General features: G+C 47.5%; 1 long non-coding RNA gene across 1 annotated transcript in view, besides 2 other annotated features; it reads left to right on the top strand.

Annotated features, from left to right (window-relative positions):
* Positions 1-24,762, top strand: part of SMAD3-DT (SMAD3 divergent transcript) — a 79,976-nt gene that overhangs the window by 7,358 nt on the left and 47,856 nt on the right. The window lies entirely within an intron of this gene.
* Positions 22,615-23,222: an enhancer, noted in NCBI's record as "H3K27ac-H3K4me1 hESC enhancer chr15:67325941-67326548 (GRCh37/hg19 assembly coordinates)". NCBI's record gives its function as "activates a minimal SCP1, AML or CMV promoter by ChIP-STARR-seq in naive H9 embryonic stem cells {active_cell/tissue: H9 hESC(naive)}" and the evidence as "EXISTENCE:reporter gene assay evidence [ECO:0000049][PMID:30033119]".
* Positions 23,223-23,830: an enhancer, noted in NCBI's record as "H3K27ac-H3K4me1 hESC enhancer chr15:67325333-67325940 (GRCh37/hg19 assembly coordinates)". NCBI's record gives its function as "activates a minimal SCP1, AML or CMV promoter by ChIP-STARR-seq in naive H9 embryonic stem cells {active_cell/tissue: H9 hESC(naive)}" and the evidence as "EXISTENCE:reporter gene assay evidence [ECO:0000049][PMID:30033119]".

Raw genomic sequence — 24,762 nt, 5'->3', positions numbered from 1 at the left:
CCTTGAACCCGGGAGGCAGAGGTTGCATTGAGATGAGATCACACCACTGCACTCCAGCCTGGTGACAGAGCAAGACTTCATCTGAAAAAAAAAAAAAAAGAGAGAGAAGAAAAAAATGTGTAGGGCAAAAGCAGTGTCAGGTGTCTCCAGTGTGTGAAACATGGGTTGTAGAGTGGCACAGAAGGAGACAATGGTGATTTGCACTTTCGGGTCAGGCGTGAACGTGTTACTGGCCTTCAGAGAGGGCCTGTTAGTGCTTCAGTGTAGTCAGGCCCTGGGTGTGTGACAGGAGAAAGAGTGGAATCCTGACCTCGTAAAATAACATCGCATCTGGAATAGTCTGCACCTTACTTACAGCCCAGCATCTGCAGCCCATGAGAACTTCCTGCCACTGATTGACATGGTTGAAGTGCATGGTATGTAAATTATATCTCACTAATGACATTTTAAAAAATAATGAAGGTTAGCACCTATTGAAGTCTTACAAGTGCTAGGCCCTATTTTCAACACTTCTATGGATTAGATTCACTTGTTTGGTTTTCACGACTGCTTGTGGTTCTTGTTATTATCATGCCCTTTTCAGAAGAGGGCACTGAGCATGGTAAGGTCAGACCAGGGAGTGGCTGTGCCCAGTCAATCCAGGCAGCCTGCTACACCTAAGTCCTTGCTCTTAACCACAATGAAGACAAAAAACAGCCACTAACTAGAAATAATCATATTGCACTCACCTGCATTTTCTTTTAACATATTGTGAATATCTTTCTATGTCAATACATACGTATTTCCTACATTGTTTTGAAAGTCTGTAGAGCTTTTTGTCACATGGATCTCCCATAATTTTTTTTTTTTTTTTGAGACAGAGTCTCACTCCTGTTGCCCAGGCTGAAGTGCAGTAGTGCAATCTCAGCTCACTGCAGCCTTGAATTCCCTGGGCTCAGGTGATCCTCCCATTTCAGCCTCCCAAGTAACTGGGACTACAGGCATGCACCACCACACCCAGCTAATCTTTTATATTTTTAACTTATGACAGGGTTTTGCCCTGTTGCCCAGTCTGGTCTCCAACTCCTGGGCTCAAGCAATCTGCCTACCTTGGCCTCCCAAAGTGCTAAGATTAGAGGCATGAGCCACTGCATCCAGCCTACCATAACTTATTAAATCAGTTTCCCACACTTGGACAGTGAGGTTTTTTCCAATTTTATTTGGTATTATTAAAAGTGCTGTTTTAAACATTCTTGTGTATACACGTTTGTGTACATCCCTGATTACTTTTTTAAGAATAATTCCCTAGAAGGAGAATTCTACTTTTTATGCCATTACCAAATGGCCCTCTGAAAAGTGATTGCCCCAGCTTAGTCTTGCCACATCAGCTTTAAAAAGTGACATTGCACCTGGGGCAGATTATTTTCTCACTGCCTCACTTCATCATCAATAGCTGCATTCAAGGGGACCGGAAAGCTTCAGCTTTAGCTGTGACTTTTTTGTCGTTTTTCTGAAATCAACAAATGAAAACCAGGCTCCACTGAAGGACCTCCCAGCACGAAGCAGAGAGTTACCTGCCCTAAGGTGAGGGATCATAGGATGTCATTGTTGTCAGGAAGTAGAAGGCTCTATTTTTCAGACCTCTTCACCTGCCCTCCTGTAGGTATTGGTGTTCCTCAGAGCCAAGTACTTGCCTCTTTTCTTTTCTGTCCTCTCCCTGAGTGATCTCACTCATCCTTGAGTCTCACCTAACCTTATAAACTGACTCCCATATCCAAGTATCCGGCCCAGACTCCTCTCAAGAGCCACAGGCTCAGACATCAGACCAAATCACCTGGACCTCCCGTTTGGTGGCCCACAGTCAACTCAAAGTTGGTTCGGAACTGAGTTTGTCATCTTTCTCCATGAACCTCCTCCTCCACCTTCCCTCCTCTAGGGACTCCACCATAATTTACAGTCACAGAAGCCAGCAGCCTGGGGACTCCACCTTTCTCACACCTCAAGCACCATGGAATCCACCGCCCCAACACCCAGCCTTCATCTTAATTCAGGCCCCCATCACTGCTTGCTACCAATTGTTACAATAATTTTCTAATTGTCTCCATTCTCTACTTGCTGCCAGAGTGAGCATTCTAAAGCACAAGTCGAATTTGCATCTCTCTTGCTTTAAAATAAAGTATGCTTTTAGCGATTTGCCATTATTTACAGCAGTGCTGTCTAATAGAAATATAATAGGGGTGATGTATGTAATTTAAAAATTTTTTGAGACCACATTTAAAAAAGAAAAAACAAGGTGAAGTTAATTTTAATTACATGTATATATATATATATATATATATATATATATATATATATATATATATATTTTTTTTTTTTTTTTTTTGAGACGAAGTCTTGCTCTGTTGCCCAGGCTACAGTGCAGTGGCGTGATCTCGGCTCAAGGCAACCTCCACCTCCCGGGTTCAAGCAGTTCTCCTGCCTCAGCCTCCAGAGTAGCTGGGATTACAGGCGCCTGCCACTGCGCCTGGCTAATTTTTGTATTTTTAGTAGAGACGGGGTTTCACCATCTTGGTCAGGCTGGTCTCAAACTCCTGACCTCATGATCCACCCACCTCAGCCTCCCAAAGTGCTGGGATTACAGGCGTGAGACACTGTGCCCGGCAATAATATATTTATTTAACTCAGTTTATCTAGTACGTTATCATTTCCACATGTAATCAATATAAAATTATCTCTGTTTTATATTATTTTTCATATGAAGTCTTTGCAATCCATTGTGTATTTCACGTGTACATCTCAAACTGGCCTGACCACGTTTTAGGTGCTCTGTAGCCACATGTGGCTAATGGCTACCTTGGTGGACAGCACAGATTCAGAGACTAGAGCCCTAGTCCTTCATATGGAATAGAAGGCACTGGGTGATGCGACCTGCCCTACCTCTGGCCTCATCCCTCTTGTTATGCCCCACATCACATCTTCTCTCCAGGCAAATCACAAATACTCCCGAGTCTTTCATCCATTGTACCTTTGCTTAGGCCCCTCCTATCTTGCCTTCTGGGGTCTGTCCATCCCTTCAGTCCTCACATCCCACCTCTTCAGCCAGATGAACACTTCCTCCTCTGCTCAAGACTAGTTTGAGCATCACCCACTTCCTGAAGCCTTTTCCTCTCTGACTCCCAGGGAGGGACTGAGCCCCACTCTGCCCTGTTCAGACTTCTATTCCAACTAATACCTATACCCGTCAGTGCATTTATTTGTTTACTGAACTGATCCATCACACTAGATTTTAAGCCCCTTAAGGTCAAGGACCTTGTCTTGCCTTTTTTTTCCCCTCAGCGCCTGTACCTAAGTACATCAAAGATGATGAACCAATGTTTGGCAGATGAATTGACTAATCATCAAGAAACTGAGGGCCAGGCATGGTGGCTCACACCTGTAATCCCAGGACTTTGGGAGGCCCAGGAGGGCAGATCGCTTGAGGTCAGGAGTTCAAGACCAGCCTGGCCAACATGGTGAAACTCTGTCTTTAGTAAAAATACAAAAATTAGCCGAGTGTGGTGGTGGGCACCTGTAATCCCAGCTACTGAGGATGAGGCAGCAGAATCACTTGAACCCGGGAGGTGGGCTGAGATCATGCCACTGCACTCCAGCCTGAGCAACAGAGCCAGACTCCAAAAAAGAAAGAAAGAAAGACGGCTGGGCGTGGTGGCTCATGCCTGTAATCCCAGCACTTTGGGAGGCCGAAGCGGGCGGATCACGAGGTCAGGAGATCGAGACCATCCTGGCTAACATGGTGAAACCCCATCTCCACTAAAAATACAAAAAATTAGCCAGGCTTGGTGGCGGGCGCCTGTAGTCCCAGCTACTGGGGAGGCTGAGGCAGGAGAATGGCGTGAACCCGGGAGGCAGAGCTTGCAGTGAGCCGAGATTGTGCCACTGCACTCCAGCCTGGGAGACAGAGAGACTCCGTCTCAAAAAAAAAAAAAAAGAAAGAAAAAGAGAAAGAAACAAAGAAAGAAAGAAAGAAAGAAAGAGAAAAAGAAACTGAGGCCTAGAAAGATGAAGTGACTTGCCCAAAGGTCTCATAACTGACACACAGCCTCTGGACTTACATTGCAGACTCTCAGTCCCGTGTTCATCCTGCCACTAGGTTAGGTGATGTCCTAGGTCTAATCTGTAGTGTACACATGGAAAGATATAAGTGAAGATTGGTTTGAGGTGCCAACTGCTAAAATTTAGGTGACTTGGATCACAATCCTGCTGTTTCTTGTATGGTTTCTTTTCAGTTTTAGTTGCACTATATTTCACTGCCTTCAAATAATTACTAGGAAATGACAGGGACCAGAAGAAACATAGGCACATAGTACAGGATGATACACAGCCCTTTATCAGAGCTGACTTCACTTACAGATGAAGAGGATGGCTGCAACCTGGGGAAAGAGTCTCTTTGCCTGAAAACTATCTGAAGTTCTTTTTTAGTGCAATCTTAGCGCACTGCAACCACCACCTCCCAGGTTCAAGCAATTCGCCTGCCTTAGCCTCCCGAGTAGCTGGGACTACAGGCACGCACCACCATGCCCAGCTAATTTTTTTGTGTTTTTAGTAGAGACGGGGTTTCATCATGCCGGCCAGGCTGGTCTCAAACTCCCGACCTTGTGATCCACCCGCCTCAGCCTTTCAAAGTGCTGGGATTGCAGGTGTGAGCCACCGAGCCTGGCCAATTTTTTTATTTTTAGTAGAGATGGGGTTTCACCATGTTGGCCAGGCTGGTCTCGAGCTCCTGACCTCAGGTGATCCACCTGCCTCGGCTTCCCAAAGTGCTGGGATTACAGGCGTGAGCCACTGCACCTGGCCCTATCTGAAGTTCTTGAAGCCTAGTTAAGGACCTGATTAATGGACCAACTGGAGTGCCCAGGGGTCTGGAGGGCCTGGTCCTAGCAATGGACCTGCTCCCAGCTTGCAAGCTGTTTACACTCCTAGTTTTGGCTTCCTCATCTGTAAGATGAAGGGAGCCGACTGGCATTGCAAGCTGCAAATACATGACTCAGTGCCCTCCTTTCATTACCCACTGCAGACACTGCTACTTAGTTCTTCTCTGGGTTCTTCTCTGCCTTGGAATTCTTCTTTCCACCCTGCCATGGAGCTGTCATTCTTCTAGCTGAAAGCTTTTTGCCTTTGAGACTCTCCTAGCTCTGACCTAATTCCCATAACTAGATGCAAATGACCATGAGAGAGTAACACCTCAAGTTCTTGCCAGCTTTAATCAACTGCTAAACTCTCAGGGCCTTATTCTGCCAAGGCCACCCAGGAGGCCTAGGAGATAAGAGCAGGAGAGGAGGTGATAGAAGAAAAGGAAGTCTAGTGCCTACCAGGGCATCAGGGCACACATTGGGCCTATTGCCTGAGCATCCATTGTGGGCACACACTTCAGGGTGCTTTGTAGAAGAAATGCCACAAGAGAAGAGCCTGGCCTGCTGCCCTTGAGTAGCATGCAGTTAGTTTAATACAAGAGCCAGAAAATATCATTTCTGTTCCCAATGACGTGAGTAGCCAGAGTGGGAACTTGTATATCTAATTAATGGCTCTGTTGTCAAGTGTCCAGGACAGTGCCTGGCACAAAGTAGTCTCTCAGTAAATATTTGAATGAATGAATGAAAAACAAATGTACACACACACTGACAAAGGAACACTCTCCACCCTTGACGCTTCACTGGGTACCGTAGAGTTGAACTCCCAGCCAGCATGGAACTCACATTTTCATGGTGCTTTCCTTCCTCCCCTCAGATTTTTCCAAATGAGGCCATGTTACCTTAATTTAATGTCTAAAATACACACAATTATGCACTCCCCCTCAAACTCAAACCCCACTTTCTGTGGTTTTTGTGGTTTGTTACACATTCATTAAGTGTATTTTTACCGTTGTTGTTATTTTTTTAAGCAGATCTAAGCCCGTTTTAGGTAGAAATGCATTCCTCTTCTTGGGGCTGCAACAGGAAATTCTAAAAACCCTTTGTGGAGGTGCATCTTCCGTGAAGTTAAAGGTTCCAGGCCCAGCCTTCCAGCCACGTGGTTCAGGGTTAGTAGCTGATACTTCTGTGGAAACCTTGTCCATAAAGGGTCAGTTAGCACCAGGGGAGGGGCCTGGCAAGAGGTGAAACTCCAAGCACATCTATTAATTATGAGAGAGAACAACATGTTTTTATTTTGCTGTTCATTTAAACTGGAACTGAGAAAGGTTGCTGGGTCCCCACACATTATCTTCCTCCTCCCTCCTCCCCCCTCCCCCCGCTCCCCTTCCCCTCTGTGTACCTGCATGGGCTTGTGTTTGTGTGTGCACGGGTGCACATGGGTGTGTGTGTGTGTGTTTGCTGGCTCAGACTCTGTGCCCATACTTTGACACATTATTGCTTGGATTTATTCCTCTTCTGGGAAACAGGCACACGTCATTCAATTTAGAAGACGTGGGCTGACATCTACCACGTACAAGACCCCCTTGGCAATCTGGGTGACTCAGGAAGCAGAGCAAGTAGGTGCTTAGACCAATGGCAAAACCCCTCCCTTCCTTGCCCCACTCCTAGGCCAAGGAAAAAAGTTCAGCTTTATTGCATTCATCCAGGATTTTGCAATCAAAATCTCTAGAAGGAAGCTATTTTGAGCTCAGCCCACATGGATGGGTGGCATTTTTTTCAGATTTAGAATTGTTTTTCTTTGAATTTCATATGAGGGAGGACTGATCTTTCAGGATATCTAAGGGTCTTAACCCAGCCCTGTCTTAGTGACAGTCCCTGTGGGAACACGAAGATGAATCACACAAGGTCTCCAGGACAAGACCCACGCAGCACAGTAACCACAGCCTCTCCAAGCTCGAGTCCCTTGGTCTGAAGCTGGTAAAGAGGAGCAAGGAATCCCTGTGACCACAGGGGCCAGGCAGCACAGTTCCAGAGCCCTGGGGCAGAAGCCATGTGCAGGGCTGTCATTCCTTGGGACCAATATGAGTCATATCCAGAGAGCTGGGCATCCTAGAAACATTTTCTGGAAGCAAAATCTGCTGATCTAGGGGTCAGGGGGCTAAGGCTCTTTTTCTAGCTCTGTCAAGAATTCCTTTGAGATCCTGTGTCCAAGAGCCCTTTGCAAACACAAAACCCACATTCCATGGTTTATGACTGACATCCCGTGGGTACCTCCAGCACATCATAGAACTTCTCTGAGAGGCCCTCACCTAAATGATGAGGTAATAAACATGCCTGAGAGAGTGGGTGTGTAAGCCTTTGGGAAGGTATGTGATGGTGGGCCAAGATAAACAGCTTTTAGCATCATCTCTCTTTCCCATCACACACACAAACAACTGCCCCTCAACCGTAATGAAAGCAGCCGGTCCCTGCCAGGCACTGAGCTAAGTTACACGTCTTCATTTATATAGCAGCTCCTTAAGCCCCTCCCCTGATCTCAAGGCCTTCTGGTGAAAGATCCAAGTCCAAAAGTTGAAGGAATCTAATTACATGTGGGGAGAAGGACCAGGTATGGATTCCAGCACTCATTTTGCAAAATGCTTAGAGGATAAAGCAGAGATCTCCTGCTCTGCGGGTGTGTCTCTGTCTTTCCTCAAGATGGCCTGTGGGAAGAGAGGCTGGCCTTGGAAGCGAGAGCCCACCCCTTGGAGCTCCCTCATGTCCTTCCCTAGGCACAGGTGGGTTCTGTCTTCCCTCCAGTGGGGTCCACAGAGCATGTGACCAGGGGCAGAAGTTTTCCCTGGGCTTGAGATGGGGTGTGGGTTTGAGTTTTGCTGCCCTGGGCCTAGAACTCCATTTCCCCATTTGTTTTTTGACCAGGTTGAGACATAGTTCCAGTGTGAACTGATTTCCCCATCTCTGGGCTATGCTATCGCAAATAACTCACACATGAGTAATGTGCCCATGTTTGTGTAGAGTTTATTTAGATAAGAAAAACAACTCGAGGCCTCATGGGAGGGGCTGCTCAGCACCACTGAGCCAGGCGTTTCCTGGGCCTGCCCAGGAGAGCCAGGCCTTCAGGCTGCTGGAGGGTGGCTGAAAAGCCCACATGCTCAGACATCTCCAGGGCCTGCCCATGGGAAGAAAAGTGAGGGATGGAACAGAGGATGGGGAACAGAGGACAGGGAAGCTGGAAGCTGGGTATTGAGTGTAGCTCTGTAGCCATAGTTGTGTGCCCTTGGGTAAGACACTTCAACCCTCTGAGCACTAGTTTCCCCTCTTTGCAAAGGGACAGGTTGGGGGAAAATAATAACAACATCCAGCCACCAAAGGATTGTGGAGATTAAAAGAAATGACCTAAGGGAGAGACTTTGTAAACTGCAGAGGCCAACACACAAGTTAGTTATTAATTAACGGCTGGATTAAGGCCGTGTTTTCAGGCCACACTCAACAGTGGAGTTGGCACAATGCCGGGATTCAAAGGCCTGGGTCCAAGTTCCAATCTGCCAGCACCCAGTCACAAGACCTCAAGCCTCCTCATCTCCCCGAGACCTAGGATCACCTCTGTGAAGTGAGGATAGTGATTCTTCCACCACATAATCCTTGAGGCTCTGTGTTGGCAGTTTTGAAGCAAAGGATAGCTATGAACCTGTTTTGTGAACTGTACAATGTACAAATATGAGATGATGCTGCCAAGTTATTCAAAGGGTCATTCATCAGTGAATCAACGTATCAACAAGCCTATTAGCTGGACAGTTGAGGATACACCAATAAGCCGTCTAGCTGGGGATGAGAAGAGGGAGGGCTGCACGTGAAGGGTTAATTCACAATGTAGAGTGATAGTGGTGAGCAGACTTTTAGGCTGAAGGCTGAAGGGCTCATCCTTTTTAAATTTTGAAACAAGGTCCTGCATTGTCACCCAGTCACCCAGGCTGAGTACAGTGGCACAATCATGGCTCATTGTAGTCTCCACCTCCCAGGCTCAAGCAATCCTCCCATCTCAGCCTCCCAAGTAACTGGGACTACAGGTGCGCACCACCATGCCCAGCTAATTTTTTGTATTTTTTGTAGAGGTGGGGTTTCGTCATGTTGACCAAGCTGGTCTTGAACTCCTGAGCTCAAGCAATCTGCCTGCCTCGGCCTCCCAAAGTGCTGGGATTACAGGTATGAGCCACCAAACCTAGACTCCTTTTTTTTTTTTTTTTTAACCTATAACCCTTTGGGAACAATGTCTTAACACAGTCACTTGTTTAAAAGAAATCTATTTTTTTTAAAGCAGAACTGATTTTTCAAACAAAGAGTTAAACAGAACCCCAGGTTATAAAGCATGAAAGCAAATCTGCTCTGGATGAAACAGGGGTCTGGGCCCAGAGCCAGGACTATGTAGCACCCCCACTCCACCCACTCACTGGTCTATCTCACCAGTCCTACTCCTCAACAGCCCCAGAGGCACCCCCTCCAAGTGCAGAGTTTCTACAGCTTCCAAATCACAGCCTCCTGGTCTGTGAAGCATGTATCCCAGAGACACTCTCACACCAGGAGGCACGTGCATGCATGTTCATAGAAGCATTACTTATGGTGATGATCATTGGAAACAACCTAAATGTCCATCAGCAAGAAAAAGGGTAAATACATCATGATCTATGTACACAGTGTAATTAACTTTGCTACAGTGAAAGTGAATGAATGTGAGCTACATGTATCAACAAAGATTAAGCTCTCAAATACACTACTGAGTGCAAAGAATAAGTTGCAGAATATGTGCTACATTGTATCGAATCTAAAACTAAAAAAATTATATATACTTAGTGATACATATACACATAGTTAGAGTATGAAGATGTGCATGGGAAATAAAGCTTCTAGAAGAAAACATAGGAGAATATCTTTATGACTTTGGGATAGGCAAAGATTTCTTAAATAGGGCACAAAGCATTAACCATAAAGAACTGATACATTCGATTTTCATTAAAATTAAGAACTGTGGCCGGGTGCAGTGGCTCACGCCTGTAATCCCAGCACTTTGGGGGGCCAAGGCGGGGGGGATCACCTGAGGTCAGGAGTTTGAGACTAGCCTGACCAGTATGGTGAAACTCAGTCTCTAGTCTCTACTAAAAATACAAAAATTAGCTGGCCGTGGTGGGGTGCACCTGTAGGCCCAGCAACTCAGAAGGCTGAGACAGGAGAATCGCTTGAACCCAGGAGGTGGAGGTTGCAATGAGCCGAGATTGCGCCACTGCACTCCAGCCTGGGAGGCAGTGAGACTCTGTCTCAAAAAAAAAAAAAAAAAAAAAAATTAAGAACTGTTCATGAAAAGAGACATTGAAGAAATACTGAAAAGGAATACAAAAAATAGGAAACGAGATTTGCAATATATATTGAAGGAACTCCTCCAAGTTACACAATGAACTGTAGATCAATATGAAAAGGAAAGGAGGTCAATTTTTTAAAAATGAAACTTGAACAGCTCTTTATAAAAGAGAATATTCAAAGGCTGCTAAGCATATAAAAGGGTGTTCATCCTTACTAATTACCTGGAAAATGCAAATTAAAACATAATGCCATACACCACATACCCATTAGGATGGCTAAAATTTAAAAGATTAACAACACCAGTACTGTCAAGGATGCGGATTAATCAGAGCTCTCATCCATTGCTGGTGGGAAAGTAAATTGGTGCAACCACTTTGGACAACGGTTTGACAGCATTCACTATTGAACACATGTAAACATCCTCCCAAATTCTACTCCTAGTTACATACCCAGGAGAAATAAGCCATTAAGTCCATCAAAAGACATGTATAAGAATGCTTATATATTCATAATAACCTTAAACTGGAAATAACACAAATGTCCATCATTAGTAGGATGGATAAATTATGGTATAGTCACACAAGAATTCTACACAGCAGTAACAACAAATGAACTACTGCTGTGCAAAACAACAGGGTGACTCTTACAGGTGAAATAAGCCAGACACAAAAGAGAATCATGTGTATGATTTCACACTTAGGAAGGCCAAAAGCTGGCGAAACTCATCCGTGTGGTAGAGGTCAGACCAGTGGTACACTGAACTGGTACTTCCTGAGGAAGCTTTCTGGAGTTCTGGACATGTTTCCTAGCTTGATCCAAGTGGTGGTTGCACAGACAGACATATTCATTGGTAAAATCCATCAAGTTGTACATTTAAGATTTGTGCACCTAATGCAAGTGATACTTTGATTAAAAACTTACAAAATGAAAAGATATGTATGGGAATGAAAATTACAAAGTTCAGGGCAAACACTACATTCAGCACCGTTCCTTATGTGGGGAGGGAGAAATCACCTTGGAGTTGTGAGTTGTGATATAAAACAACCCAGATGTTCCCGTTTACCAAAGTGAGACTGTGCCTGGTGCCATGGCCCGCACCTGTAATCCCAATACTTTGGGAGGCTGAGGCAGGTGGATCACTTAAGTTCAAGACCAGCCTGGGCAACATGGTGAGACTTTGTCTCTATAAAAAATACAAAAAATTGGCCGGGCGTGGTGGCTCATGCCTGTAATCCCAGCACTTTGGGAGGCCGAGGCAGGTGGATCATGAGGTCAAGAGATCGAGACTATCTTGGCCAATGTGGTGAAACCCTGTCTCTACTAAAAATACAAAAATTAGCTGGGCATGGTGGTGCGTGCCTGTAGTCCCAGCTACTCGGAAGGCTGAGGCAGGAGAATCGCTTGAACTCGGGAGGTGGAGGTTGTAGTGAGCTGAGGTCATGCCACTGCACTCCAGCCTGGTGACAGAATGAGACTCTGTCTCATAAATAAATAAATAAATAAATAAATAAATAGTCAGGCATGGTGGCATGCACCTGTAGTGGGAGGCTGACATCAGGGGATCACTTGAGCTTAGAAGGTGGAGGCTGCAGTGAGCTCTGACTGCACCACTGCACTCCAGCCTGGGGAACAGAGTGAGACCCTGTCTCAAAAACAAAAAAAACAAAAAACAAAAACAAGGTTAAGACTGTCTTGGAAACTGAAGGGGCCCAGAAAACCTACAAGACCTGCCTGAGATTTTATTTAGGGATAAGAAGAAAGCAAGCAAGCTGAAAAGGACAGAAAAAGAAAATAATGTTGACTTCAGTTTGCAGGTTAAATCCCATTGACCATATAAGGGTTACATCCATGTAAAGTGCCTGGCTCATAGTAGTGCACCCATCATTTCCCCTTCACCATAGGAGAAGCTGCATCCCAGGCGATCCAAGCCCAACGAATTCCTCCCACTCCCAGGAAGGGCTTGCTTGAGGCCAGAGGCTGGCAGGGAAAAAAAACTCCTCTGCAAAATGTTGCCTCAGCCTCTGGAATTTACACTTACCCCACTGCCGTCTGCTCAACATTCCTGCCTGAAATTCCAGCCGAACCATAGGAAACAACTGCTCTGTGAAGGTCCAGGAACTGGCAGGGGCTGGCAGGCCTCTCCCAACTCCCAAATTGCTGTCACAGGCTATGACCTCACTTCCTTAGCCCGCTCCAGGGTGAGCCTCCTCTCCAGTCCTGAATGTTCGGTGGGCAGGAGGGCAACAGCGTGGGCCTGGACCAGATCATGGCAGGCCACTGAGCAGGGCTTGGCCAGGTTACTGCCGTGGATCATTTCCCATTTTGGAGAGTCAAACCCCAATACCCTTGCTCAAAGTTAAATGCGCAGAGGAAATTCCCTGTTCTGGGAGGCTTGGGGGAAGTGGATGCTCCCTCGGCTCAGCTTTCTTGATGAGTCGAAGGGAGGAAAGGAGTTGTGTTTCTTGAGTGCTTACTCTATACCAGGCCCTGTGCTAGGCTTACACTCTTCAGAATGACTGTGTGAGGCCAGATGCAGTGACTCACGCCTGTAATCCCAGCTCTTTGGGAGGCTGAGGTGGGCAGATCACCTGAGGTTGGGAGTTCGAGACCAGCCTGACCAACATGGAGAAACCCCATCTCTACTAAAAATACAAAAATTAGCCGGGTGTGGTGGTGCATGCCTGTAATCCCAGCTACTCAGGAGGGTGAGGAAGGAGAATCCCTTGAACCTGGGAGGTGGAGGTTGTGGTGAGCAGAGATCGCGCCATTGCTCTCCAGCCTGGGCAACAAGAGCGAAACTCTGTCTTAAAAAAAAAAAAAAAAAAAAAAAAGAATGACTATGTGAGATGGATATTATTTTTCCCATTTTACACATGAGAAGGATAATGTCTGAGAAGTTAGAAAACTAGCAGATACTGGGGCTGCTCTTCCCACACATTGTCTCCACAGCATTCTAGTACTCTGGATATGGTAACAATTTCATGTTAACATGCTTCATAGCAGTTGACCATTCAGCAAGTTTCAATTTTTTTTTTCTGGCATATATTGAATGAAGTACTGTAGTGTTAAGAGACAGTAGCTGGGCAGGGCGTGGCGCCTCACACCTGTAATCCCAGCACTTTGGGAGCCTCAGGTGGATGGATCACTTGAGCTCAGAGATTTGGGACTAGCCTGGGCTACATGGTGAAACCCCATCGCCACAAAAAATACAAAAATTAGCTGGGCATGGTGGTATGCACCTGTAGTCCCAGCTACTTGAGAGGCTGAAGTGGGAGGATCACTTGAGCCTGGGAGATAGAGGCTGCAATGAGCTGAGGTCACACCACTGCACTCCAGCCTGAGTGACAGAGCGAGACCCTGACTTAAAGGAAAAAGAGAGAGAGAGAGAGAGAGAGAGACAAGGGCTGGGGCCAGCCTGCCTGAATTCTAACACTCATGAGCTGTATTCCCATAGTAGAGTTTTTCAACTCTCTGAACCTCAGCTTCCTTATCTGTAAGGAAGGATAATAATAACTCCTTCTCGATCACACTGTGAAGATAGCATGTGATCGTGCACGGCAGGAAGCATTTGATTCAGACCTTGACATACTGTGATTATTACTTGTGGTTACTGTTGTCATAACCTAGTGAGGGGATGGGACAGAGCCTATGGTTATCCCACATTGATACATGATTAAGACTCTGAAGTTCAAAGGTTAGTTGATATTCGAAGTCACACATTATCACTGAGATGGTTCTAATAACCCATGGCCTGGCTCTCTGCAGGGGGCCAGCTCCCTCAAGGGGTCCCTGCCAACTTCTAGAGGTCTCCCATGGGTTTCTGAGCATTTGCCAGCACACTCTCCCCTCATAGCAGGCAAAGCGGGAGGCACTGAGCTGCGTGCAAAGATGAGGAAGGATGTGTAGGTGGCTGGTGCTGCAGGCTACCCGAGAACACTGGTTCTATGTACTTTGTACTCTGGGGAGCAGTTTGCAGTGGTGGGAAGAGGTGGCTGCTTGGAATAGACAAAAAGTACAGAAGCCTCTGTAGGCAAAAAGCTCTCCCCCACATGGTCTTCCATTCCTCTGTTCCAAACCATATAAGACTTTCTCTGCCCTCAGAATAAAATCCTTAACATAGTTTCATGTCATGTTGAATTTTTTCCTAGCTCCTTCCCAGTTTGATCCCTTGAAGCATGACATTGAGCTTCTCTATCCTTCTTCCCCCATCAACCCCTACACACACACACACACACACACACACACACACACACGCACACACAAGCACTCATACCTTCACACATTCACACTGCAAGCTCAGTTCTCCCCAGGCTAGGTTGAGGACCCCCCTCCCCCTCCTCAGGTAGAAATCAGCCACATCTGGCCATCTGGACAATTGCCGGCCTGGACTCGAAGAGCAAGAGCAAATCTGCAAGCCAGCAGAGGAACCCAGCTCATTCTGAGTAAAAATAACCTGTCAAATCAATTACAGCGGCAGAACCAATTAGGGTGACCGCAGGGGAATAAATATGCAGTGTTTAACTTAATCATCTTTCTGTTCGAACAGCACTCCGGCAGGGCTGCATGACTAAGGCAAATGACTATTACATAACTGGTATTTTTATTCCTTGCCCCTTCTCTTTAGAAAGAGAAGCCAGTAAATTTCATTTTCCTTTAAAGTGGAAAAAAAGACAAAGGAAAAGAAAGAAGATTGTTTCTGAACTTGCACAAATGATCAAAAAAAAAAAAAAAAAGGACAGCCTGGGGCCCTCTGTTAGCAACAAATTAATGTAGAACTACTCACTAGCTATGTGACCTTAGGTGAGTCATTTTCTTCTGTGATTCCGCATCTATGAAGGGAGGCACTTAGAGCTGATGATCCCCAAGAGCCATTCTTGCAAATCCTGACTTTCTATTACCTAGGACAACTTTGACTCTGAAATTCTTTATGGCCATGGTGGGATCTTACTTACCTTTGAGTTACCCCATTGCTCCTTGTACAGTGTCTGTATACTCAGGTGCTCAATAAATACTTGCCAAACTGTTCTTTATTTCAACATTTCCTGTCTCTAGGATACTTGCTAGGGACTGGGAGATAGGCACCCAAGTAGTATAAAGAAGTTGTCTCCCATTTGAGGGAGGCCAGGCATGCCTCTGAGAAATGACAGAGTCTAGTGTGCATAGGCTGGATGCGTGCTGGAGGCAATAGATACTCAGAGAAGAAGGATCTTTCTTTCTTCCCTTCTTTCCTTCTTCCCTTCTTTCCCTTCCTTCTCTACCTTCCCTTCCCTTTTCCTTCCTTCTCTACCTTCCCTTCCCTTTTCCTTCCTTCTCTACCTTCCCTTCCCTTTTCCTTCCTTCTCTACCTTCCCTTCCCTTTTCCTTCCTTCTCTACCTTCCCTTCCCTTTTCCTTCCTTCCTTCTCTACCTTCTCTCCCCTTTTCCTTCCTTCCTTCCTTCTCCCTTTTTCTTTCTTTCTTTCTTTCTTTTTGTTTTGTTTTTGTTTTTTTCTGAGACAGGATCTCTCTCTGTTGCCCATGCTGGAGTGCAGTGGCATGATCTTGGCTTACCGCAGCCGTGGTCTCAAGTGATCCTCTCTGTTCAGCCTTCTGAGTAGCTGGGACTACTGGTTGGAATTAAAGATAGTCAGATGTTGAGCATAAACGCTTTCTTAATTGGTGGCTGCTTTTAGGCAGATTTTTAAATTTTTTGTAGAGACATGGGGGTCTCACTATGTTGCCCAGGCTGGTTTTGAACTCCTGGACTCAAGTGATCCTCCCATCTCAGCCTCCCAAAATGCTGGGATTACAGGAGTGAGCCGCTGTGCTTGGCCAAGAGGGATATTTCTAACCCGAGAACGGTCATGAAGCACTTCCTGGAGAAGGTGAAATAGCACTGGTCCTTGAAAGACATTTAGAATTCTGACCAGTCAATAAGATGAAAGATACTGTAGGGGTATCTGTAGGAATGGCCTACGTAGAAGTGAGGAGAGAGAAAACCTAACAGTGGTGGGTGGTTTGTGTTGGGAAGCAAAAAACGAAAAAAAAAAAAAAAAGAAAAGATATCTTGGAATCAGACTGAGAAATGCTTTGGAAGCCAGGCTGGGGAGGGTGGGGCATATCCTGGAAGCAATGGGAAAGGAAGGTGGGATGGAGTCTCTATAGTTTCATCATCTTCTCTGGCCAGTGGGTAAATTCACCATTCTAAATAGTTAGAGATGAACTTTATTTCTGTTCTGTTCTCCCTGGGAACAGCCTAGAGGTCTAGAACCATGGGGAAGGAAGTAGGGGACTGTCATTGATTGCACAGAATACAGTTCTTTTGCCCTGCCTATCATACCAAAGCCCTAGGTTTGCTTACTTTGCCCAAGTGCAAATTCACAGCTTTTCAGGGCTGTAAAGGTCAATTATTAGAGCGGATGCTGTCGGTGCCCTGACCCATCTCCTCAGCACTCACCTCCACACTGAATTCAGGTCGCTCACATCTAATACCCATGAGCACTGTGGCCAGCGTGGGGCAAAGCCCAAAGTGCCCAAGAATTGATATCCCTGGCGAACAGCCCTCTATGAATGAGGGACGAGCATTTGGTGGATAAATCCCCAGTTTCCTTACCCCTTGGGCAGATGAACTCTGAGGTGTGTTTTCCAACTCTGTCTCCCAGAGTGTTTCCAACACCAGTTGCCTGTGGTGACAACCTGCTCAGCAGCATGCCTCACACTGGCTTCCTTCCGTTCTCTGTCTCACTTCCACACCCTTCACCTGAGTTTCTAGGGATCACCTTCTAAATGACCTATTACTCACACTTGAATCCTTGACTCAAGCTTCTGGGGAAACTGAAACCAAAATAATTCATAAATGTCCCTCATTATATGGCTGGGGAAACTGAGGCCCAGAGAGGAGAAGATGATTTGCTTAAGGTCACCAAACAGCTGGCTTAGGCGAGAGCCTGGGCCTCCAGGCCCCCAGCCCAGGGCCCTCCCGCTAGACCAGACAAGTCTTAGATTAGTGCTCCCTCCCCTCTGCTCCCCCGCTGAGGCGCCACAAAGTCACAAGTCAGCAGCAGAAACTATTCTTCCTCCACTCCTATTTGAGCAGAAAGCAAGGGGCCTCAGCAAGGGGGAAGGGGCGAGGCCTGAGGCTCCCAGATGTGGCCCTCATTCTCCTGGAAAGTGGGCTTTTGTCTCTGCGGTAACCAGGGCAGCCGCCCCATTTATCTGGTTTTAGCAAAGCAGCCGCATCCTTTGGTTTCAACTGCTGGGGTTGAAATGGTATGTTTGCAAAATGGAGTTATTAGCCCTTAAAAAGGAGGAGGAGGGTTTTTTTCTCAGGAAAAGGAAGATGAAGCTTGGGGTCTTTCCATATCAATGTCGAAGAAGTGCAATATACACAGAAATGACTTTAGGGGACCAGAGAAATCCTAAGTAAAGATGGAAACCAGCAAGTGGAGTTTAGATAGATAGAGTGATATCCTTTTTAAAGCAAGCAAATACATCTTATAACAAGGTAGCTGTTTGCTGTCAGTGAAAGGAATCCAAGGGGAATATTGCTGAGAAACAAAGGCATTTTCTGTCTCTTTAAATAACTCAAGGCAGCCTGACATCTTAGTTAACAGAGGAAACAAAGATGTTGTATGCTCAGGGAAAGGAAACTATTTTTCTCTTGAAAAGAAAGCAGATGTTATCATCTAGCTCTAGAAAAGTTTGAGGTACCCAAGCACAAAGTGACACTTTGCCAGGTTTAATAAACATTGCTTTGATGTGCCAACAACCCCTAACTAAACTGGTCACTTAAATGAACTAACCTTTAGGCTACTAATGGATTATTATCATAGTTCACCTCTCTGTGTATGAAGTTCCCTTGAGCAAATCCCTAGACTGAAGATCCCTTGAGCAAATCATTCTATCCTTGCCTTGCCATGAAGTATTTGTGAAGGGCTAATTGCAAATTCATTTGTTCCGTCATTCAGAAGTTCGGTATTTTTACTGTGTGGTTGGACAAATACAATACATGCAGATAATGGACTAAATTGGTCACACTTGTAATTGTGTAAGGTCAAAAACAGGACCCAGAGCATCCATGCTGAAGGCAGGGCAGGGAAGCAAAGCTGAAAAAAGCTTGGGAAGTCAGGCTGGGGAGGGTGGGGCATATCCTGGAAGCAATGGGAGAGGAAGGTCAGAAAGTCTGTAGTCTATCCTGGGGAAGGAAAGGGAAGATTTCATTGAGATTATCTTTTTTCTCTGGCCCTCACATTTTTTGGGAAGAATCCGAATGAATAGGTAAGAAAGACTTAGTAGCTTGGCTGGGGCAGATGGCATATGATGTAGAATTGTTAGATTAAGTTGGAAAGATAATGTGAGTTTCAGTTTGGAGGACTTGAGATGCATGCAAAGAAGCCTAGGCTTTATCCTAAAGGTAGCAGGGAGCCATTGGATGTTCAGGATCATATTGGGGGAGGAAAATTGAGCTCAAGATGGTTGCCTACTTACCCTCAAAGGGCAGTCTTTAGCATCCCTGATATGATATTGATATGATGAATCACTTATGAAGTCCATTCACCCAACTGGCTAATTTTCTGTCTTTGGGGTTGGGGGAGGAAGAAAGGAGGTAAGTTATTGGATTTCAAAGTACAAAGTGGAAGAGGAATTTCTCAATTGGATCAATCAGTAGGGACACACTCTCCCTGCTGGGAGCCAAGAGCCAGCTGTTGCCCAGGTCAGGTGCAAACTATGGAATTATAGCAGCACCCATTTGAGCAGCTGGTTAGAATGCTTCTGGGTTTTCCCTTAGACACTTAACCTTTTTATAGCTCAGCCACAAAACTTTTGCTTCAGGCCAGACCTCAGCCTGTTACTTGCTTAATTAATTGTTTTTCTTTCCAGCATCCCTCCAAAATCTATCAGAGAATAATACTTCAGCTAGGTCTCTTGCATTTCTGCAAGAGGTCTCTTCATTTCTGAATTATTTGGGTTTTTCCCCTTCCACTCCTCTGAGACCAGACTTTGGAAATGTATGTTTCAATCAATACTCTATTAAGCAGAAAGCTCAGGGAGGAGAGGATGCAAGGTAATAACATTTTCTGTCTAATGGAGGATTCTTTTAATAAAACTCAATTTGTTTCAGTCCTCTTTGTAGCTGCTGGTTATTAAAAAAATGCCCGAGTCCACTTTTTCTGCCCTCTGGTTGTGATTAAGTGAATCCTTGCTGAAGAGGGTTCTTGTAGGCCACAGAGGAGCGGTGTGGTCATCAATAACCACAGGCCAGGGTTGGAAAATAGGATGGAAAAGGAGAAGGGTAGGGGTTAGCCACCACTGACTGTGTGGCTGCAGGGCACCATGGGAACCCCGGCTGGCTGCCACCACACCCTTCACTCACCCTTCACCAGCCCCCTCCCCTCACCTAACCCAGAACAGGAAGGCAGGGCCAAAGTCAAGACACAATCTTTTTTCTTCCCTAATCTTCACCCAACTTTCATGAAGAAAAGGCAGACATTGGGGAAAATGCTGTTAAGGGGACTTGTTTTTTGTTTTGTTTTGTTTTGTTTTTGAGACAGTGTCTTGCTCTGTTGCCCAGGCTGGAGTGCTATGGCGTGATCTTAGCTCATTGCAACCTCAACCTCCTGGGCTCAAGCGATCCTCCCACCTCAGCCCTGCCAAGTAGCTGGGACCACAGGCATGCACCACCATGCCCAGCTTAAATTTGTTTATTTTTCTTTTAGAGATGGGGGCTTCCTATGTTGCCCAGACTGCTCTTGACTCCTAGGCTCAAGTGATCCTCCCGACTCGGTCTCTCCAAGTGTTGGGATTACAGACATGAGCCACCATGCCCAGTCGAGGGGATTTTTTTTTTTTTTTTTGAAATAGTCTTGCTCTGTTGCCCAGGCTGGAATGTAGTGGCACAGTCTCGGCTCACTGCAACCTCCACCTCCCAGGTTCAAGCACTTCTCCTGCCTCAGCCACCTGAGTAGCTGGGATTACAGGCGCGCCCGGCTAATTTTTATATTTTTAGTAGAGACAAGGTTTCACCATATTGGCCAGGCTGGTCTCGAATTCCTGGCCTCAAGCAATCCACTTGTCTTGGCCTCCCAAAGTGCTGGGATTACAGGCATGAGCCACTGCGCCCAGCCTAAGCAACTTCCCAGGGAAATCCCGGGAGTCTGGACGTCCTGGGTGAGTGCATTAGCAAGAACATCGGCCTGTCAGCCAAGAGAGTTCATTTCTTGTCCTGACTCTGCCATGCATTACCTGTGTGGCCTTGGACAAGTAGCCTCTCCTCTCTGGGCCACATTAATGTGTCTATAAAGGGAGGGGGCTGGGCTGGGGTCTGCAAGTTCCCTTCCATGGAGCTGTAAAATTGGGATAATAACAACGCCTTCTCTGCTCACCTCAAAGAGGTGTGGGAAGATAAAAATTAAAAATGATTGGAAATACTTGGTAAGTTGTAAAGCCCTATGTAATCGGGAAGAGTAAGTCTCTATGGGAGGCTTCCTTCAGCAGTCAGGAACTTCTTAATGCAAACCAGGTGTTGGTGCAATCAGACTTGAGGTCTCCCAGCCTGGGGAGACTGTGGCTGGGGGAGGGCGAGGAGAAGGGAAGTGAGGTGGGCAGCCTGGCTTCCCAGAGTCTCCCTTCATACATGGCTCCTCATTCTTCCTTGGTGCCCGTACACAGCAGGATGACACCCCCACCCACACCCCTACTCGCTGCCCAGGGTGACACCTCCACTCCCACCCTGTGCCCAGGATGAAACCCCCACTCCAAGCCCAGGATGACACCTCCACCCCATCCCATGCCCAAGATGGCACCCCCACCCCCACCCTGTGCCCAGGATAACAGCCCCACCCCCACCCCGTGGCCAGGATGACACCTCCACCCCATTCGGTGCCCAGGATGACAGCCCCACCCCCACCCCATGCCCAGGATGACACCCCACCACCACCCTGTGCCCAGGATGATACCCCTCACCACCTCACACCCAGGAGGACACCCCACCCCCACCCCGTGCCATGATGACACCCCCATCCCCACCCCATGCCCATGATGACACTCACCCCCACCCCATGCCCAGGATGACACCCCCACCCACACCCCATGCCTAGGATGACACCCCACCACAATCCGGTGCTTGGGATGATACCCCTCCCCACCCCACACCCAGGAGGACACCCCACCCCCACCCCATGCCCAGGATGACACCCCCACCCACACCCCATGCCTAGGATGACAGCCCCAACCCTGTGCCCTGCTCATGCTCTGCTATGCTGTGAGCACCTCCCCTGTTTCTGTGATTTCTCTCCCTAGGTCCTTCATCATCCCCCGCCCAGGTGAGAAACTGAGCCACCTCCAGAGGGAGGTCAGGTGATGGGCCCAAAGTCCCCCACGAGTCAGAGCCTAACTAGACCCTGGTCTGTAGTATTATGGGAAAATCACGAGCTCTGACAACAGAAGGTTCTAATCCCTGCTGGCCAATGCCTTACTCCCCAGCGGTGTGACCTTGGGCAGGCGATTTAAATTCTCTGAACCCCAGTTTCATACTTGTCAGGGAGGACTTCTGTACGCTTCTCAGGAGGTTCCAGCTGAGGTGAGCCCCCTTTTGCCCACAGTAATGACCTCAACATTACACCCTTATTTTGGACGATGCTGGCACTGGAGAGGTGCTTACAAAAGTGCCAGGTATGGCTGCAGTTGTAAGGTATAATTTTCTAGATGGCTTCCATCTGAAGCTCTAAAAACCTGTCCCCTCCTGAGTACCTGCCACTGAGCAGACCCGGTCTTTCCAACTGGGGCCTCACTTTAGGTTCACCCTGATTCCCACACAGCTTGCTCTCCACTCCCCCAGGCTTCCACCTTGAGGCTCATCTGTTCTCAGGAGGGGGTTGGGACAGAGCCACAACTCTGGGACATCATCCCTCTTCAAAGGTGCAGGGGAGTTTTCGGGAAACAGAAAACTTTGGCCAGGTGGGTTGTGGTTTGGTCCCTTGAGCTCGGGGTTTAACTGAACCTTAAGATGAATTTGGCATGTGTGTGAAATCTCTGCTCTGTGTCCCCAGCTGCAGGACAATGGGGGCCATTTAGGACTTTGCACATGGGATGAAAACATCTGGTTCAAATAACACACACACACACACACACACACACACACACACACACACACACACACATCCCAACAGGAATACATTACAATAGGAACAATCATTCTTAAACCGAATGTACTCTCCCACTTTTCAATACGGGGATCATGAGAAAAAATAGGACCCAATCCCTGTCCTGGAGGAACGGGAGAGACCATCTTATCTACACTGCTGGCTTTAAAGTTAGGGAATCTGAGCCGGGAGTCACTGGTCTAAGGTCTTACAGCAAGCGAGAGACAGCAGTGAGACAGGAAGCCGGGTGACCCAACTTCCAGACTTCAGCCTTTCCCCAGCTCCACATGCACGGAGGAGGAGGTAGAGGGCAAAGAAACCAGGCCCTTTAGATTCTCGTGGACAGAGAATCCCGTTTCGCCAAGAGATCAGAGGGCTCAGGGTCCCCAGCCTGCCGATGGCTTTTTTTCATGTGCAGCAAGGCCATCTGTGCAGCCAGTCTTGACGCTGCAGCCAAGAGCGAGACCCCAGAGTCTTGGAGTCTGCTGGGGACTCCTGGGAGATGCGTTCCACGACCAGCCAGGGTGTGCACAGGTGGGTGGGTGAGCGGCGGCGCACGGGGTGGGCGGGCGGCGCGCGTGCAAGGGGAGAGCGCGGCCGCGGCGGGGGACGGTGGGCGCGTGGGCCAGCGTCGCCGACGGAGGCCGAGTCTCCTGGAAGCCCATGCAGAGGAAGTGGCGAGGACGAGAGCTGGGAAACTGGGTCGCCTCCGCCGCGGAGCGACGGCGCCTCCAGCAGCGTCCCGGGCACGCTTGCGCCCTGCAATGTGCGCGTCCTTCGCGAAGAACGTCCCGGGAGGCCCCACCGTGCCGTCTCGCTCTTTCTTCTGAATTTCTGTGGTCCTGCCTCCTGCCAGGGTCCCTTCATTAGGGTTCTGCTGCCCAAGGTCCCCGCGTGGATTTTCTCCGGGGAGGTAATTCGGCGAAGGTCTGGCGCCTCCTTCCCACCTGGCCTTTCTCCTTCGGAGAGTCCGTGCTTTCTGCTGCCCTGAGGGGACAGAAGTGTCCCTCCGTATGTACCCCCATCCTGTCTTCCCTGAAGACTGCCCCTGCGCCCACACGACCCCATGGCCAGTGCTGTTAAAACCAAGCACACCCCGCAGCGAGTAGAGGAAGGGCTGGGAAAAGCCACACTGTGTTCTTGTCCTTACCTACCCACCCCCCAGCCCCGCGGCTCTTCCCCTAAGTATAGGACTGAATTGCTGAGGGACCTCAGATTTCCCCAGCCCGCCCCGTCATCAACAGGAAGAACCGCACAGTGGTTGGGCTTGAAGCCCTCAAGCAGGTTGTGTCTGGATTCAAATCTCTGCCCTATGCTTTCTAGACATGTGACCTTGTCACGTTGTTTTATTCATATTCGTATGAAAAGCCTACTGAGAACTTACCAGACAGCTTTCTTGGCATCGCAGACAAAGCAGTGAACAAAAGGTCCAGGTGGTGACGGAACTTCCATTGTAGGTGGGGAGGCAGACAATACATAAATATCTTCATTAGATGGTGATAAGTGTTAAAATGAAGACTGTAGCAGAGTGAAGGGACAAAGTGTGGCAGAGGCGTGCTATTTTAGTGAGAGTAATCAGGGAAGGCCTCTCTCACAAGCTGACATTGGGCAGAGACCCAAAGCAAGTGATGGAGCTGTAGTGCTCCAAGTGAGAGCTTTCCAGGCAGAGGGAACAGCAAGTGCAAAGGCCCTGAGGCAGGAGTTCAAAGAACTGGAGGGTGCAGAGTGAAGGGGACAGTGGTAGGGGATGAGGTCAGAGAGGAAGTGAAGGGTGCATATTTCGTGGGGCCGTGTAGGTCAGGGTAAGGGTTTTGAATTTTGTTCTGATGAGAAAGAAAGTCATTGGGGAGTCCTAACATGACCTAGCTGATATTCTAAAAAGCAGCATTAAGGGTAGACCATGAGGGGAATAAGGAGATGGTTTCACTAATCCAGGTAAACAATAATGTTGGCTGGAACCTGGTGGTAGTGATGGAGGTAGATTCTGGATATATTTCAGGTTGGATTGAATAGGGAGTATAAGAGCTATAGAGGAACTGAGAATATTGTGTACTTTGTTGTTGTTGTTGTTGTTGTTGTTGTTGAGACAGAGTCTCGCTCTGTCACCCAGGCTGGAGTGCAGTGGCACAATCTCGGCTCACTGCAAGCTCTGCCACCTGGGTTCACGCCATTCTCCTGCCTCAGCCTCCCAAGTAGCTGGGACTACAGGCGTCTGCCACTATGCCCGGCTAATTTTTTTTGTATTTTTTAGTAGAGACAGGGTTACACCGTTTTAGCCAGGGTAGTCTCGATCTCCTGACCTCGTGATCCACCCCCATCGGCCTCCCAAAGTGCTGGGATTACAGGCATGAGCCACCGCTCCTGGCTGATGTGTACATTTTTTACCTGAACAACTGGAAGGAT

This window comes from Homo sapiens, chromosome 15 (assembly GCF_000001405.40).
Source record: "Homo sapiens chromosome 15, GRCh38.p14 Primary Assembly".
Taxonomy (NCBI): domain Eukaryota; kingdom Metazoa; phylum Chordata; class Mammalia; order Primates; family Hominidae; genus Homo; species Homo sapiens.
The sequence above is the reverse complement of the archived record's forward strand: the minus strand, read 5'-3'. Positions and strand labels throughout refer to the sequence as shown.